This window comes from Homo sapiens, chromosome 6 (genome assembly GCF_000001405.40).
Source record: "Homo sapiens chromosome 6, GRCh38.p14 Primary Assembly".
NCBI classification, from domain to species: domain Eukaryota; kingdom Metazoa; phylum Chordata; class Mammalia; order Primates; family Hominidae; genus Homo; species Homo sapiens.
This window is the reverse complement of record NC_000006.12, coordinates 85,624,964-85,640,707: the sequence shown is the minus strand read 5'-3', so window position 1 is coordinate 85,640,707 and position 15,744 is coordinate 85,624,964. Positions and strand designations below refer to the sequence as shown.

The 15,744-nt window shown below is 40.5% G+C and overlaps 1 protein-coding gene across 16 annotated transcripts in view; it reads left to right on the top strand.

Annotated features, from left to right (window-relative positions):
- Positions 1-15,744, top strand: part of SYNCRIP (synaptotagmin binding cytoplasmic RNA interacting protein) — a 36,087-nt gene that overhangs the window by 3,163 nt on the left and 17,180 nt on the right. For 15 of the 16 annotated variants that reach the window (NM_001439160.1, XM_017010178.3, NM_001439161.1 and 12 more), the window contains 4 exons: positions 144-262; positions 380-487; positions 3,352-3,465; positions 3,565-3,741. In NM_001439160.1, the coding sequence (NP_001426089.1) occupies positions 144-262; positions 380-487; positions 3,352-3,465; positions 3,565-3,741 (518 nt within the window). The remainder of the gene's footprint in view (positions 1-143; positions 263-379; positions 488-3,351; positions 3,466-3,564; positions 3,742-15,744) is intronic. The other variant, NM_001253771.2, reaches the window with a different exon arrangement.

Here is a 15,744-nt window from a genome sequence, read left to right as displayed (position 1 = left end):
AGTGTGTGTTTTTTTTTTTTCAGGTATAGATGAGGGGAGTAGAAGAATTGTAAAGGCACACATGTACCTGTATTGCCAACATAGTCTTCTCTAAAAAATCTTTTCTAAAAATATTAAAAGCTGATAACTTTTATTTTTTTCAGGGCTAGTTGCACATAGTGATTTAGATGAAAGAGCTATTGAAGCTTTAAAAGAATTCAATGAAGACGGTGCATTGGCAGTTCTTCAACAGTTTAAAGACAGTGATCTCTCTCATGTTCAGGTAATGTTAATGTCAATGTGAAAATTAAAAAATTTGAGTAGTTTTGATACTATCTGCTGAATTTTATTAGACTCAGATATGGTTATTGTTAAATATTAATGGAACATTTTTTTGCAGAACAAAAGTGCCTTTTTATGTGGAGTCATGAAGACTTACAGGCAGAGAGAAAAACAAGGGACCAAAGTAGCAGATTCTAGTAAAGGACCAGATGAGGCAAAAATTAAGGTATGTCTTTCTATACTCCCTTTAGTTTTAAAGTCATTTTAACTGTTTCCTAATTTTGGTAAATATTCCTTGGGTATGAAATGGATGTATGTTAGATGTTGAGATAATTCATCAATCTTTCCTAATTCCTTTTTTTAAGTTTTTTTAAACTATTTGTTTCTAAAGCAATTTGCTGTGAAGTTTATCATGTTATCCAGCTACTGATGTTTAAATCTGTTCTATTGGTAGTCCTAGTATAAAGAAACACACCCATGATACCTCTAGAATATTTTTTGAAAAGCTGCAAAGCCAGCTTATTGACAGTTGAAATACTGATGGAGAATGTACATTTGGCAACTGGCTTTTTTTTTTAGGAGTCTCAAACCCCAATGAATTTAGAATGTTAACCCTGCTGCCCTCCACTTCCATCAGTATGGATTATTAGACTATTTCTCAAAGCAGCTTTGACAATAAGATTGTTTAGTGTGGGTATGTAGATGAGAAACTGAGGCTAGGAGGAGGAGGCTTTTTTTTTGGTTTAAAATCATGGTGAATGGCTTCAAATTCAGCTTGGTTTTGATATTTATATTGGTGAGTTTTCTAATTTATAGACAATGTGGTGATTGTATTACTTTTTAACCTGGTGTGCTTTGTAGTGTGCCAGTGCTCTTGAGCCAAGCGTATGGTTTAAGAAAATCAGTTAAGGGTATAGGCCTTGAGCATTGTTGTAGTGGTGTGGAAACAGGGAAAGCCTAGAATATGGAAAAGGTTGGTATATGGAGTTAGCTGTTTAAGACAACCATGAATTGGAGGCTTTCACAGATCTAGCTGTGAGTGAATTGAGTTTGATCTGTAAATCTAGTTTTTCCATAAAAGTGGAGTATAGTTGTCTCCATTGTAATTCAGTTGTAATCAAGTTTGCATTGGTGAGCTAGAACTAAAGTTTTTAAACTTTTAGTTTGTGACTTTTAGCTTTCAGTTTTTTTTGCAAGGGGGTGGCTTAATTTTTTGTTTGTTTGTTTGTTTGTTTTTGGGAGACAGAGTCTTACTCTGTCACCCAGGCTGGAGTGCAGTGGCGTGATCTTGGCTCACTGCAACCTCCACCTCGCGGGTTCGAGCAATTCTCCTGCCTCAGCCTCCCGAGTAGCTGGGACTACCGGTGGGTGCCACCAGGCCCAGCTGATTTTTGTATTTTTAGCAGAGGTGAGGTTTCACCATGTTGACCGGGATGGTCTCAATCTCTTGACCTCGTGACCCACCCACCTTGGCCTCCCAAAGTCCTGAGATTACAGGTGTGAGCCACCATGCCTGGCTGCTTACAGTTTCAATGAGAGCTAAGTTGTGGTAAAAAGGCATAGAGACATTTTTAGAGGAAGTTTGACAGAGGGAATAAGTTTTTCCTTTTTGTTTTTATGGATTGACAAAAAGTGTTATTTGGGTCTTAACTATTAAGGTTAAAAAATCCGTTTATAGCATAGGGATTACATGTGAGAAAATGGAAAGATGAGCTATTACTCATTTAGTTTATGTTATAGATGTGAGCAAGTTTATGAATGTTTTTATTAATTACAGTATTTTTCATAAACAGTTAGTGTCCTTTGAGTAGAAAATGTTAAAAATCTGTCCAGTAATTTTCAGAGACTGAGGTGACCCTAGATTATGCATTTTGATAAATTTTGTCAGATAGCTAGGATTAGTCTGTTTTTATTTCAGAATGTCCTAGCTAATAAAATTGGTTTTGTTTAGAAAACCACTTTTGTGCTTTGTGGTTGAGACAGTGGAGAAGGGGAATAATTCTTGACTTTTTCCTTCAGATAATGGAGGAGTGTACCTTTTTTTTTTTTTTTTTTTTTTTTTTTTTGAGATGGGGTCTTGCTCTGTCATCCAGGCTGGAGTGCAGTGGCGCGATCTCCGCTCACTGCAACCTCCGCCCCTCCAGGTTTAAGCGTTTAAGCAGTTCTCTGCCTCAGCCTCCTGAGTAGCTGGCATTACAGGCGCGTGCCACCACGCCTGGCTAATTTTTTGTATTTTTAGTAGAGACAGGGTTTCACCATCTTGGCCAGGCTGGTCTTGAGCTCCTGATGTCCTGATCCACCCGCCTTGGCCTCCCAAAGTGCTGGGATTACAGGTGTGAGCCACTGCACCCAGCCTATACTTCTTTCTATACTTTGCCTAGAATAAGGAATAAACACCTAATGCTCTGAGTAAATATGAGTTGTGTAAATTTTAACAGTTACTTTTTGGGAGTTAAAATGTAGAGGTTATGTAACGTTGCAGTTTCATAAAGTTTTTAAAAGTCGTTTTGGCTGTTACTTTTTTCTGAAGGACCCATGCTATCCCATGAAATATGGCACGTAAATGTCAAATAATAATAGGAGATTTTTTTTCCCTGTAGCTCCCAAGTTTCTAGACTTGGTATGGGAAGTGTAATTTCTTCTGAGGTTGGCACAATGCCCAGAATGGCAGTATGTACCTAGGAGTGGGGTTTATAGGGAATTTATTGGGTGAGAGATCCAGATTTGAAAGATGCTCAACCAAATTAGGTACAATCATTTTTTAAGATGGTATTAACATAGTAATACATCCTGTCTTGAAAGTTGCTGATGGATTGGTCTTAACTTTTTGTTGTCCATTAAGCACACTATTCAGTAATTAAGTGGAGACTAGAAAGTAATTTGAACAGGACCCTGGACTTCTGATAATAATTTAGGAGTATAACAAGTACACATTTAAGGGGAAATTTTAAAACAGACATCACAAACCTGTTTTTATAAGGGAACATGCCAAGATAATTGGAAAGATTTGAGCAAGATGGATGTTAACTGCTAAATATATGGGTGTGGTCTAGTGAATTAAATGTATTAATGACGTTTGAACTTTTCAAGGCACTCTTGGAAAGAACAGGCTACACACTTGATGTGACCACTGGACAGAGGAAGTATGGAGGACCACCTCCAGATTCCGTTTATTCAGGTCAGCAGCCTTCTGTTGGCACTGAGGTAAAGCAACTAAAAACTTGTACCTTTTGTAGTAAAAGCACAGGTATCTGGTTTCCTAAAGCAATTCTCCATGGTTTTTACTTAATATTTAATTTACAGATATTTGTGGGAAAGATCCCAAGAGATCTATTTGAGGATGAACTTGTTCCATTATTTGAGAAAGCTGGACCTATATGGGATCTTCGTCTAATGATGGATCCACTCACTGGTCTCAATAGAGGTTATGCGTTTGTCACTTTTTGTACAAAAGAAGCAGCTCAGGAGGCTGTTAAACTGGTAAGTTGTCCTTTTTTCCCCTTCAGTTTTCACGTTCACTGTCTTTAATATCAAGTTTTTTTCTTAGTGTGCCTAAGAGTTTACCAAACATTTTTTGAAGTACTGATTTAGGCAGGTTTTTTTTTTCCCACATCACTGTGCAAGCATTGTAGTGTTATTCTTTGCATGTATAGTTGATAGGATTCAGCATCTAAAAGGCGGCATGGTAGAATTCCTAGCAATTGGTTCTTATAAACATCTGGCTTAGTGACGTTTTTGTGTGTTTGTTTAAATTTATAGGAATGTGAAAAGATTAAGAAAAGTAACTGTGGTAAGAGCTCTCATACTTCCTGGCCATACCTGAGCCATCTCTTTTTCTTAAATAATTCACAAAAGACATTGTGATACATTTCTAGTTGATGAAACAAAAGATTTTATGGTGAGTGGCAATGTTTGATTTAAAAATACCAGATGTTAGGTAAGGACCTGGTAATCTTTCCAACTTTTTTAAAAAGGAAATTTTTCTTTTTTCTTTTCTTTTTTTTTTGAGACCAAGTTTCTCTCTCTTGCCCAGGCTGAAGTGGCATGATTTCGGCTCACTGCAACCTCCACCCCTCAGGTTCAAGTGATTCTCCTGCCTCAGCCTCCCGAGTAGCTAGGATTATAGGCGCCTGCCACCACGCTCAGGCTAATTTTTATATTTTTAGTAGAGATGGGGTTTCGCCATGTTGGCCAGGCTGGTCTCGAACTCCTGACCTCCGGTGATCCACTCGCTTCGGCCTCCCAAAGTCCTGGGATTTTAGACGTGAGCCACCACGCCTGGCTAGAAAGAAATTTTAATATTTTAAATTATAGTTTATGTAAGTCCTTTAAACTAGTTTTATTAAGTTCTGTGACAGAAGTGGTTTCTGCATTTTATAGTTGAAGAGTTGGGGGCTAATTTAAACCCATAGAATGTATCAAGCAACACGACTGGGGAGAACTTTTGTACAAGATAGCTCACTATGCCATGTTTGTTAAATTTGCTTTATCTGGCTTACGTATCCTGTGGGTAATTCCAGACAAACTTAAAATCTTCAGACTCATTTTTTTTTCCCTCCCTCCTGAGTTTTACCCCTTCCTTTACCATGAGGTTTATCACTTTAAGCAAGCCTTAAAGAGAAAAATAAAACTCATAAGTCTTCCTTTTCTTTTTTTTTTTTTTTTTTTTTTTGGGAGATAGAATCTCACTCTGTCACCTAGACAGCAGGAGTGCCATGGTGCGATCTTGGCTCACTGCAACCTCCGCCTCCCAGGTTCAAGCGATTCTCCTGCCTCAGCCTCTCCGGTAGCTGGGATTACAGGCATTTATCACCACACCTGGCTAAATTTTGTATTTTTAGTAGAGACAGGGTTTCACCATGTTGGCCAGGCTGGTCATGAACTCTTGACCTCAGAAGATATGCCTGCCTCAGCCCCGCAAAGTGCTGGGATTGCAGACGTGTGCCACTGCACCCGGCCAAGTCTTCCTTTTCTATGTTGTGTGAATATTCCCCACTGGTTTGCATAATTGAGTATGATGGAAGTTAAACAGTACAAAATTATGTTACTTGAAAGAATATAAGCCTTTACAAAGAGAATTTGAGAATTTAGATATTTTCAAATCATGTCTGATTTTTCTCTTCATAAAAGAGTGCTTTGTGTTTTAGAGGGAATTCAGATTTACTGGTAACCTTTGAGTTGTCAAAATTTTAGTTTCAGCAGTTCAATTTGAGGGGAGGGGCATTTTAGAGCTCTAGAAAGAGGTACCTTAGAAATCCTTTAGTTTGTTTTTATGATTTGTTTTTTGAGACAAAGTCTCTGTCACCCACGCTGGAGTGTGTGGGCATGATCTTGGCTCACTGTAATCTCTGCCTCCTGGGCTCAGGCAATTCTCCTGCCTCAGCCACCCGAGTAGCTGGGATAATAGGCGCGTACCACCACACCTGACTAATTTTTGTATATTTGGTAGAGATGGGGTTATGTTGGCCAGGCCGGTCTTGAACTCCAGACCTCAAGTAATCTGCCCGCCTTGGCCTCCCAAAGTGCTGGGATGACAGGCATGAGCCACTGTGCCTGGCAGGTTGGTCTTGAACTCATGGTCTCAAGCAGTCCTCCTACCTCGGCTTCCCAAAGTGCAAGGATTACTGGCATGAGCCACCTTGCCTGTCCCAAAATCCTTTAATCTCCTATAAAAGAGTAGAATATTTTTGCCAAGTAGCAATAAAGTAGCAGTAAGTGAAAATGCAGAATGATCCAGTAAGCAATGAGGTATCATAACTACAGAAAGCTAATACAGTGGGCTCTCTCTACTGTGGGTCCTGCATTCACAGTTTCAGCTAGCTGAGGATTGAAGATACTCCCAAAAAACCCAATAAAAAAAAAAAACAACACACCAGTGTATGAGAGAATGTTCGTAGGTTATGTGCAAACACTATGCTATTTAAGAGAGTTGAGCATTCATGGATTTTGGTATGGGTTCCTGGAATCAGTCCCCCGTATGTGCTGAGGGACCACTGCAGAATTTAGCTAGTGGTGTCATCCATTTTTTAACATTATGAAAAAGAATCATTAAACTGACATCGTAGGTTACCTAATTCTTGCCGTCAAAATGTACCAATTATGGTAGGTGACCACTATAACTTATTTATAGATGTTTTCCAGAAACTTTACAGTAAAGATACATCATTAGAGGAAGATGGTTTATAATCCATTAGTAACAGTGATTTCGAGTGCCAGTAGACACTAGGAAATGTTTCCATTTGTACAATTGCCTTGTTTAATAAATACGTTAAATTATAAAATTGCATTGCTGTAGGTTGCTTAGAATATAGTCTTATTAATATAGTTTTTAAATATAATGGAGAAACTTCTATAGATAAGCATTCTTTTTGATTGGCGTAGGAATTAACCCTTGTCCTAAAACTTTCTACATTTCTTTCTGGGTTTCTCTGTTGTGATTTGAATCCTTTTCTGGGGGCATAATTATTTTGTACTATCTAATTAATAGGAGACTTTGCATTTTGTTGTCTTTTAAAAGATACTTTTGGCAGGGTGTGGTTGCTCACACCTGTAGTCCCAGCACTTTGGTAGGCTGAGGTGCAAGGATTGATTGAAACCAGCCTGGGAAACATAGACCCCATCTGTACCAAAAAGTAACAGATTAGCCAGGCAGCGTGCACCTGTGGTCCCAGGAGGTCAAGGCTGCAATGACCTGTGATCATGCCACTGCACTCCAGCCTGGGCAACAGAGACCCTGTCTCAAAAAACCAAAAAGGGGGAAAAAAAAAATTTCCAATGGTAGGTATTGGTATACAGCCAGTAGGATATATTGGTCATACCATCATTTGCTTTTTTTGACTTTTTAGTAAGTTTTTTTGAAACGGAGTCTCCCTCTGTTGCCCAGGCTGGGGTGCAGTGGTGTGATCTCAACTCACTGCAACCTCTGCCTTCTGGGTTCAAGTGATTCTTCTGTTTCAGCCCCCTGAGTAGCTGGGATTACAGGTGCACACCACCATGCCCTACTGATTTTTGTATTTTTAGTAGAGATGGGGTTTCACCCTGTTGGCCAGGCTGGTCTCAAACTCCTGACCCCAGTCTCGGCCTCGGCTTCCCAAAGTGCTGGGAGTACAGGTGTGAGCCACCACACCCAGCCTACTTTTAAGTAAATTGTTTATTTTATTTATTTATTTATTTATTTATTTATTTGTTTTTGAGATGGAGTCTCACTCTGTTGCCCAGGCTGGAGTGCAGTGGTGCAATCTCGGCTCACTGCAAGCTCTGCCTCCCGGGTTCACGCCATTCTCCTGCCTCAGCCTCCTGAGTAGCTGGTACTACAGGCACCCACCACCACACCCAGCTAATTTTTTTTGTATTTTTTTAGTAGAGACAGGGTTTCACCGTGTTAGCCAGGATGGTCTCGATCTCTTGACCTTGTGATTCACCCGCCTTGGCTTCCCAAAGTGCTGGGATTACAGGTGTGAGCCACCGCGCCCGGCCTTAAGTAAACGGTTTTAATTATTATTACTGTTTTCGGAGACAGGTTGTCACTCTGTTGCCCTTGCTGGAGTGCAGTGTCATGATCAATGCTCACTAACCTTGAACTCCCGGGCTTACGTGATCCTCCTGCCTCAGCTTCCTCAGCAGCTAGGACTATGAGGGCACCACCTTGCTAGGCTAATTTTTAAACTTGTAGAGGTGGTGTCTCACTATGTTGTCCAGGCTAGTCTTGAACTCTTGGCCTCAAGCAGTCTTACTGCCTTGGCTTCCCAAATTGCTGGGATTACAGGCATGAGCCACTGCGCCTGGCCATTGTTTACTTTTTTTTTAAAAGGATGCTTTACTGTGGGTAGGATCTGGTAGATTTGCTTTAGCACAACAAAGAACTAGATTTTAGAGAAAGTGAAGTAATTGAAACATTCTAGAGAAAATACAAATCTCAAGTTTTTTTGGATGTTTTTTGCCACTTTGTATTCATTTGCGGACATGAATACCCCTTTCCTAAGTATGTTCCTCAAGGGCGCATACTTTGGAAGCTATCTCTACTGTGTTACATTTTGAGATTCTACTTGTTACAGTTCTATCCAAAGTGAGTTTTTAATTGAAGTGTCATTCTAGTTATATATAACTAAATGTTGGGAAAGTGCCTCATGCCTCCTTTGCATTATTTATAGATCAGACAAGATTGAAGCACCTCTGTTTCTCTTTTGAGTGTCTGGAGGAATACCTTAGGTTGAAATAGTTTTAGGTATTTGGCATTGTCTTTTAATACTGATACAGCAATGAATAGTTTCTCTAGGTTAAATAGTACTGTAGACTTTATATTTGTATGTGGACTTATAAAAATGGGTTAATTGATGTTAACAGTTGAAGAGGCATGAAGTTAATTGAAAGCAACTTCAAGTTTCTTAAATGACCCTGATTCTAGCCAACATCTACCTTCATTTTGGGGAATGAAAAAAATCCATTTGTAAATGATGATAATCTAGCTAGGGAAGCATGATCTAAACTTGTGAAAAGGTGATTAATAGCTACTACTTGAGTGCTTGTTAAGGGACAGGAGCTTTGTTAGATGCTACGTTATCACCTTTAAATTCAGCCTCAACAACCCTTTCTGCCAGGTAGTAGAAAGAAATAGACTTGCCTGAGGCCATACAGCTAAACATCCCAGCCCTAGTTTGATGCCAGGTTTCTTTAGCTGAGGTCCCTATTGTTAGACATAACAATTTAAGCCAACTGTACAAGTTACGTCACCAGGTAGCCTGATAACTTTAAATTATGTAGTGGTTTAGGTAGTGTTAAAAGAGTTAAGGAAGTAGGTCCTATCTGTTGCCAAAATATTTTAGCATCTAACACTTTTTATCTTCTTCGCTGCTACTACCCTAGTTAGTCTAAGGTACCATTTGTACCATTCAGACTACTGAAGAAACTTAGCTAGTCTCACTGCCTTCTGTTGCCCTTTATATTTGGCAACATCAATTAGATCACAGCATTCCTGTGCTGAAAAATGACTTACAAACAAGGCCCTATCCAGACAAGTTCCTTCTTACCTCTTTCCCCACTCTTCCTTTTAATTACCCTTTTAGCCATGTTTCGCCTTCTTTAAGCCATGGCCTTTTTTTTTTTTTTTTGGAGACACAGTCATGCTTTGTCACCCAGGCTGGAGGGCAGTGGTGCGATCACAGCTCACTGCACCCTCTGCCTCCTGGGTTCAAGCAGTTCTGCCTCAGCCACTGAGTAGCTGGGATTACAGGTGTGTGCCACCACGCCTGGCTGATTTTTGTATTTTTAGTAGAGATGGCGTTTTGCCATGTTGGCCAGGCTGGTCTCGAACTCCTGACCCCAAGTGATTTGCCCGCCTCAGCCTCCCAAAGTACTGGGATTACAGGCGTGAGCCACCGTGCCCAGCCAAGCCATGGCCATTATCATTTTAAGGCTGCCTTCTGCTGTTCTGCTTTCGTAGGGGTTGAAAGCAGCCCATTTATGACTGATGCTTTCTTTTCAGGTAGGGTGACATTGAGCACCTTACCACCCAGTTGCCCCCATGACAGTATTCTAAGAATGATAAAATAGATTTTGCTTGGATGAGCTTGTAATTATTTTTTGACTTTGTAAATTATTTACATGTCTTTTCCCATTAGAATATGTATATATTTTTCCTTTTTCCCTAACATTTAGAACTGTGCCCCATTATGTAGTAGGTGTTGGATAAATAACCTGACTTGCTGACCAGTGCTCTCTAATATTCTTATGTAACTCATGGACCATTTGCTGTTTTAATAGCCTCCATTTACAATTCTGTGCTACTTACTGCCCTGTGATTAAGGTAAATTAGTAGGTGATGATGCTTTCTTCCCTTACCTACCTAGGGGTTGTTTGGAAATAGACATGTTGATTTAAAGACCATGAAGAAGGGCAGGCAGGTGTGTTTATGTATTTGTGTGGTATGTTGCTGGAATTGGAGCCCAAGGCTGGTGATGCTGCAATTCCATGACAATCTTAAATAACGGAAATATCCTGATGAAATGCTAATAATGTCTATGTACAAGCATTGGAATAGATGAAATCTGTTTGCACGTTACGATTTTTTTTGTTTGTTTGTTTGTTTTTGAGATGGAGTCTCGCTCTGTTGCCCAGGCTGGAGTGCAGTGGCACGATCTCGGCTCATTGCAAGCTCCACCTCCTGGGTTCACGCCATTCTCCTGACTCAGCCTCCGAGTAGCTGGGACTACAGGCGCCTGCCACCACACCCGGCTAATTTTTTTGTATTTTTAGTAGAGACGGGGTTTCACCGTGTTAGCCAGGATGGTCTCTATCTCCTGACCTCGTGATCCGCCTGTCTCAGCCTCCCAAAGTGCTGGGATTACAGACGTGAGCCACAGTGCCCGGCCCACAAGTTATTTTAATAGCTCTGATGGTTCTGATGGTTTTAGTCACCAGATTGGTTATGTATACTGTCATGATGTGTATACAGCTTTTTTTTTTTTTTGAGACAAATCCTCACTCTCAACGAGGCTGGAGCACAGCGGCGCTATCTCAGCTCACTGCAACCTCTGTCTCCTGGGTTCAGGAGATTCTGCTGCCTCGGCCTCCCGAGTAGCTGGGACTACAGGAGCCCGCCACCATGCCTGACTAATTTTGTTTTGTTTTGATATGAATCTCGCCTTGTTGCCCAGGCTGGATTGCAGTGGCATGATCTCGGCTCACTGCAGCCTCCGCCTCCCAGGTTCAAGCGATTCTTCTGCCTCAGCCTCCCGAGTAGCTGGGACTACAGGTGAGCACCACCACGCCTGGCTAATTTTTGTGTTTTTAGTAGAGATGGGGTTTCACCATATTGGCCAGGCTGGTCTCAAATTCTTGACCTCGTGATCCGCCCACATCGGCCTCCCAAAATGCTGGGATTACAGGCATGAGCCACCGCACCCGGCCCTTTTTTTTTTTTTTTTTTTTTTTTGTATTTTTAGTTTGTTGACCAGGCTGGTCTCAAACTCCAAACCTTCAGTGATCCATTTGCTTCGGCCTCATGAACAGCCATTTTGATGAATGTAGTTGACAAGGTAGGTTCAGAGATATTTTAATAATAATTTAGCAAATAGTGTGTTTAGCATGAAAACTTTTACTTCAGATATACAGGTTCTTAGAGAGTTTATAGAACATGAAAGACTACTGTTACAGTGGAATCCAGTGGTGCAAAGCGTAAAGGAAGGATGAAGGGAGACTGGATTAGGGTTGTCAGAGAAGGCTTTGCAATAAAGAGGTTTGAGCAGCACAGTGAAGAAAAAAGGTGAATCTAGTTGAAGCAGTGTTTTGTGGAAATAAAACTTGTAATAAAGTCAGTGCCAGGAGTTAGTTCATACTGGGCTAAGCTGCATAGCACCCCCCACCCCCTTTTTGAGCCCTGATGTGGGTGGCATGTTGTAAGTGGCTGAATAATGAAGATTATTTGAATAAAGACAATAAAGGCCAGGAGGAGGGTGGCAGCAATAGAAAGGAGAAAGATCGGAGATTTTGGAAAGAGAAATGAAAGGCCATAGTGGTATGCTGTAGGTTGTATTCTAGTTTTTATCAAGAATTGAAAGTGTAGTTGGACTGTTCATGATACGTTTGGTAACTTGAATCTCCATTCAGTGATAAATGCCTTGGATGACCGTCAGGATCTGAAAAACTTTTGATAGCCTGAGATAGAAAGTTTATATCTACCAAGATGGAATTGACTAAAGTTAAGTATTTACACTAGTTTAACAAGCTGTGGTGTCAGTAATGTGTGGTTGCCAAATAACCTAGGGTAACACAGACAATATGTAAGAGTGGTATGGTGTCTAGAAGTGGAAAATTAGTAATAAGCTCCAGTTTATTCTAGACTCCTGTTTCAGTCTGCGTTTACAGTATTGTGTTAGAATGTCACTCTTCAGTGACACTTGTCAGTATTTCTTGGAGGTACTTTAGTTTGCCATTATCAGGGAAGCAATGATTAGCCAAGCATAGAAAACAACTGAGTCATGTGCTTGTGTGCCAGGTATATGAAATGCTGTCATTTGGGGGAAAGAAATAGGTTTATTTAAGGAAGTAGATTTTGGCTTATTGTAAAGAAGACTTTATAATTAAGAAATCTTTAGGCCAGGTGCGGTGGATCATGCCTGTGATCCCAGCATTTTGGGAGGCTGAGGCGGGCGGATCACCCGAGGCCAGGAGTTCGAGACCAGCCTGGCCAACATGGTGAAACCCTGTCTCTACTAAAAATACAAAAATTAGCCGGGTGTGGTGGCACACGCCTGTGGTCCCAGCTACTAGGGAGGCTGAGGCAGGAGAATCACTTGAAACCGGGAGGTGGAGGTTGCAGTTAGCTGAAGTCGCGTCACTGTACTCCATCCTGGGTGTCAGAGTGAGACTCGGTCTCAAAAAGAAAAAAAAAAGAAATCTTCAATGTGGAAGGCTTTGGAGGTAGGGGCTTTGCTGAGAAGAGTTAGGACTAAGCAGCCTCTTCTGGATCAGATTCCAAATTTGACATTGCTGAATTTCTGGGAATTTGGTGACTATGAGGGAAGGACTTAAAAGTGACTTAAAATTTTGAGACTTGATGACAGGAACGTTCCAGACTGTACTACTGTTTTGGTGTTCTTAAAAACTGAAACCTCACATTGATTAATGATCATAATTAATCTTCATTTTCTATTTGGTTCATCTCAGCTGTGGTACTGAGCTTGAAGGCTAGATTTTTACAACTAACAAGATTCAGGGCCAACCTTTCTAGAGTAGGAAAGATAAGACTTTTTGTGTGTGTGTGCTCGTTTTTTTATACCACTGTAGTGTCCTGATACACTTCTTGAGTTAGGGTTTACTAGTATTAAATTAGAATCTCTTATTCACATTTGTTTTTTGTATTACACCATTCACCATATAACTCACTGTTACCCATCTTGCTGGGATAAGTGTTTTTTTGTTTTTGTTTTTTTTTAGGTGATAGAGTGGCATTAGTGTAAGAAAGGTTAAGCAATTCAAATACACGTACAAAAAAAGCATGCGTAATCCGTAGATGGGGTGTTGCTTCCGGAAATGTTAATTTCTAGGTACTACTTTTGTTATAGTTGTACCCAGAGTCTCCTTACTTTGTTCGCTTAATGACTTATTTTCATTGGAGAGCCAGTTGACTCTCTGTGTTACCTGTAATACAATTGTTCCAAGTTTTTTTTTTTTTTTTTTGTAGAGATGGAGTCTTGCTCTGTTGCCCAGGCTGGAGTGCAGTGGCGCGATCTGGGCTCACTGCAACCCCTGCCGCCCAGTTTCAAGTGATTCTCCTGCCTCAGCCTCCCGAGTAGCTGGGATTACAGGTGCCTGCCACCACTCCCGGCTAATTTCTTTTGTGTTTTAGTAGAGACGGCGTTTCACTGTGTTGCCCAGGCTGGTCTCGAACTCCTGAGCTTAGGCAATTCGCCCGCCTCAGCCTCCCAAAATGCTAGGAGTACAGGCATGAGCCACCGCGCCTGGCCCAAGTTTTTTAATTGAAAAAATGTGGGTAGGGAGGAATCAGCAGTTTATTTTATAGATCCTGCTAAATCTTTGTGTTATTTATGTTGTTCAGAGACCACATCCATCCTTTGTACTTTCTACCTACCATGCCTTGGCTAACTTGATTAGCATCAGGGCTAGTGATGATGGGTAAGAAGGAAAAAAATGGTGTTTCTGTAGATAATAATGGAAACAGTTATTAATAATTTGAAGCAGCATTGTTAATGTTGATGGTTAATGGAAGTGTTGCCTATGTTACAGATTAGCTGTCTTCTCTATATTTCTTTGATTATTGTTGCCTTGATGGAATGTTTCCATTCTCTGTTGTCTTGCCTTTGCCTCCTACATTTCTTATAAGGATTTTGGTTCCTCTCAATGGTGTATTTTCTTGGTAGAACTAAGAATTCAAGTTTCTGTTAGAAGTTTTTTTAGAATTAGGTATTTTCTTATAGTTAATAGCTCCTGATTTTAGAACATTTGGAAAATACCAGTTCCCCCCCTCATTATACCAAAATCTGTCACCCCCAAAATCACTCCTGTTTTTGCCTTTACACACTTGGTATTTCTTTCCACCTTTTTCTGGTATTTTAATTGTTTTTGTTAATTACTAGAATTACTGATTGCATGACCAATTTGAAAACCACTGATTTGTTGCTAAGGCTGGCTACTTGATGCTAGATTATAAGAATCCAGGGAATGTACATATTTTAAAGTAATTTATTGTGTTCTTAGTTTAATTTTACTTGCAAAATAAGGCATTATAATCTACTTGTCCATAATTCTGTGCAATGATGGATTCAGCCATAGCTCTGCTACATTCAGGTAACATGTTTCTGCTGTTAAAAGATTATTAGTCTGGTAGAAGAGAAAGACATGAATGCTATATGAGAAAACAAAGTATATGGCAGGAGTTTTTAACCTCAGCACTGCTGATCTTTTAGACTAGATAATTCTTTGTGACAGGCTGTCTTCTGAATTGTTAGATGTGTATCAGCATCCTTCTGTCTACCCAGTAGATACCAGCAGCAAGTCCCCACTTCTTTCCAAGTTGTGACAATCAAGAATGTCAAATGACTTCTGGGGGGCAAAATCACTCCTGTTGAGAACTGTTGGTCTGTGTTAACATGGAGGAGTATTTTGTTGACCCTTTTAGGATTTATGTATTGTAGTATTGGGTGGTTGAACTTAATTTACAGGTATCCAGAGGAGCTTGTATGGTAGAAGTTTCAGGGAAGGAAGGCAATTTCTTCAGAGCCATAGGAGTATAAAAATTGCATGTGGCCCAGCATGGTGGGTCACACCTGTAATCCCAGCACTTTGGGAGGCCGAGGCGAGTGGATCACAAGATCAGGAGTTTGAGACCAGCCTGGCCAACATGGTGAAACCCCGTCTCTACTAAAAATACAAAAAATAGCCGGGCATGGTGGCAGGCGCCTGTAATCACAGCTACTCGGGAGGTAGAGGGAGGAGAATTGCTTGAACCCAGGAGGCGGAGGTTGCAGTGAGCCGAGATAGTGCCACTGCTGCACTCCTGCCTGGGGGACAGAGCAAGACTCTGTCTCAGAAAAGACAAAAAAAAAAAAACCCTGTATGTTTAAGAGTTGATATAAAAAGGTATTTGAGAGAGAGAGGAGAAAGTAGCAGGAGTCATCTTTTTACTTTTTTTAATGTTGTGTCTCTGGCATAAATGTAGAGAAATAGAAGTAAACCTGGGATCAGGAGGGCCACACACTTGAATAGCCTGTACAGAATAGTGGGGTAGAAAGCAATAAATTTTTCTGAACTGGAGGTATGGTATTTGAACTTTATTAAATTTTGATTTTCTGGAGATGGGGAAGGGACAGGGAGGACTCAACTTTCTGACTTACATGTTTTCTTCTGTTATACCCGGTGTACCTAGCAAGGATGGGCATAATAGAAGAATGGTTTCTTTTGCTGTAAGGTATTTCTATAAAGTTGTATGGAAATTGATGTTGGTTCTTTAGTTTGTGTAGCTCCACG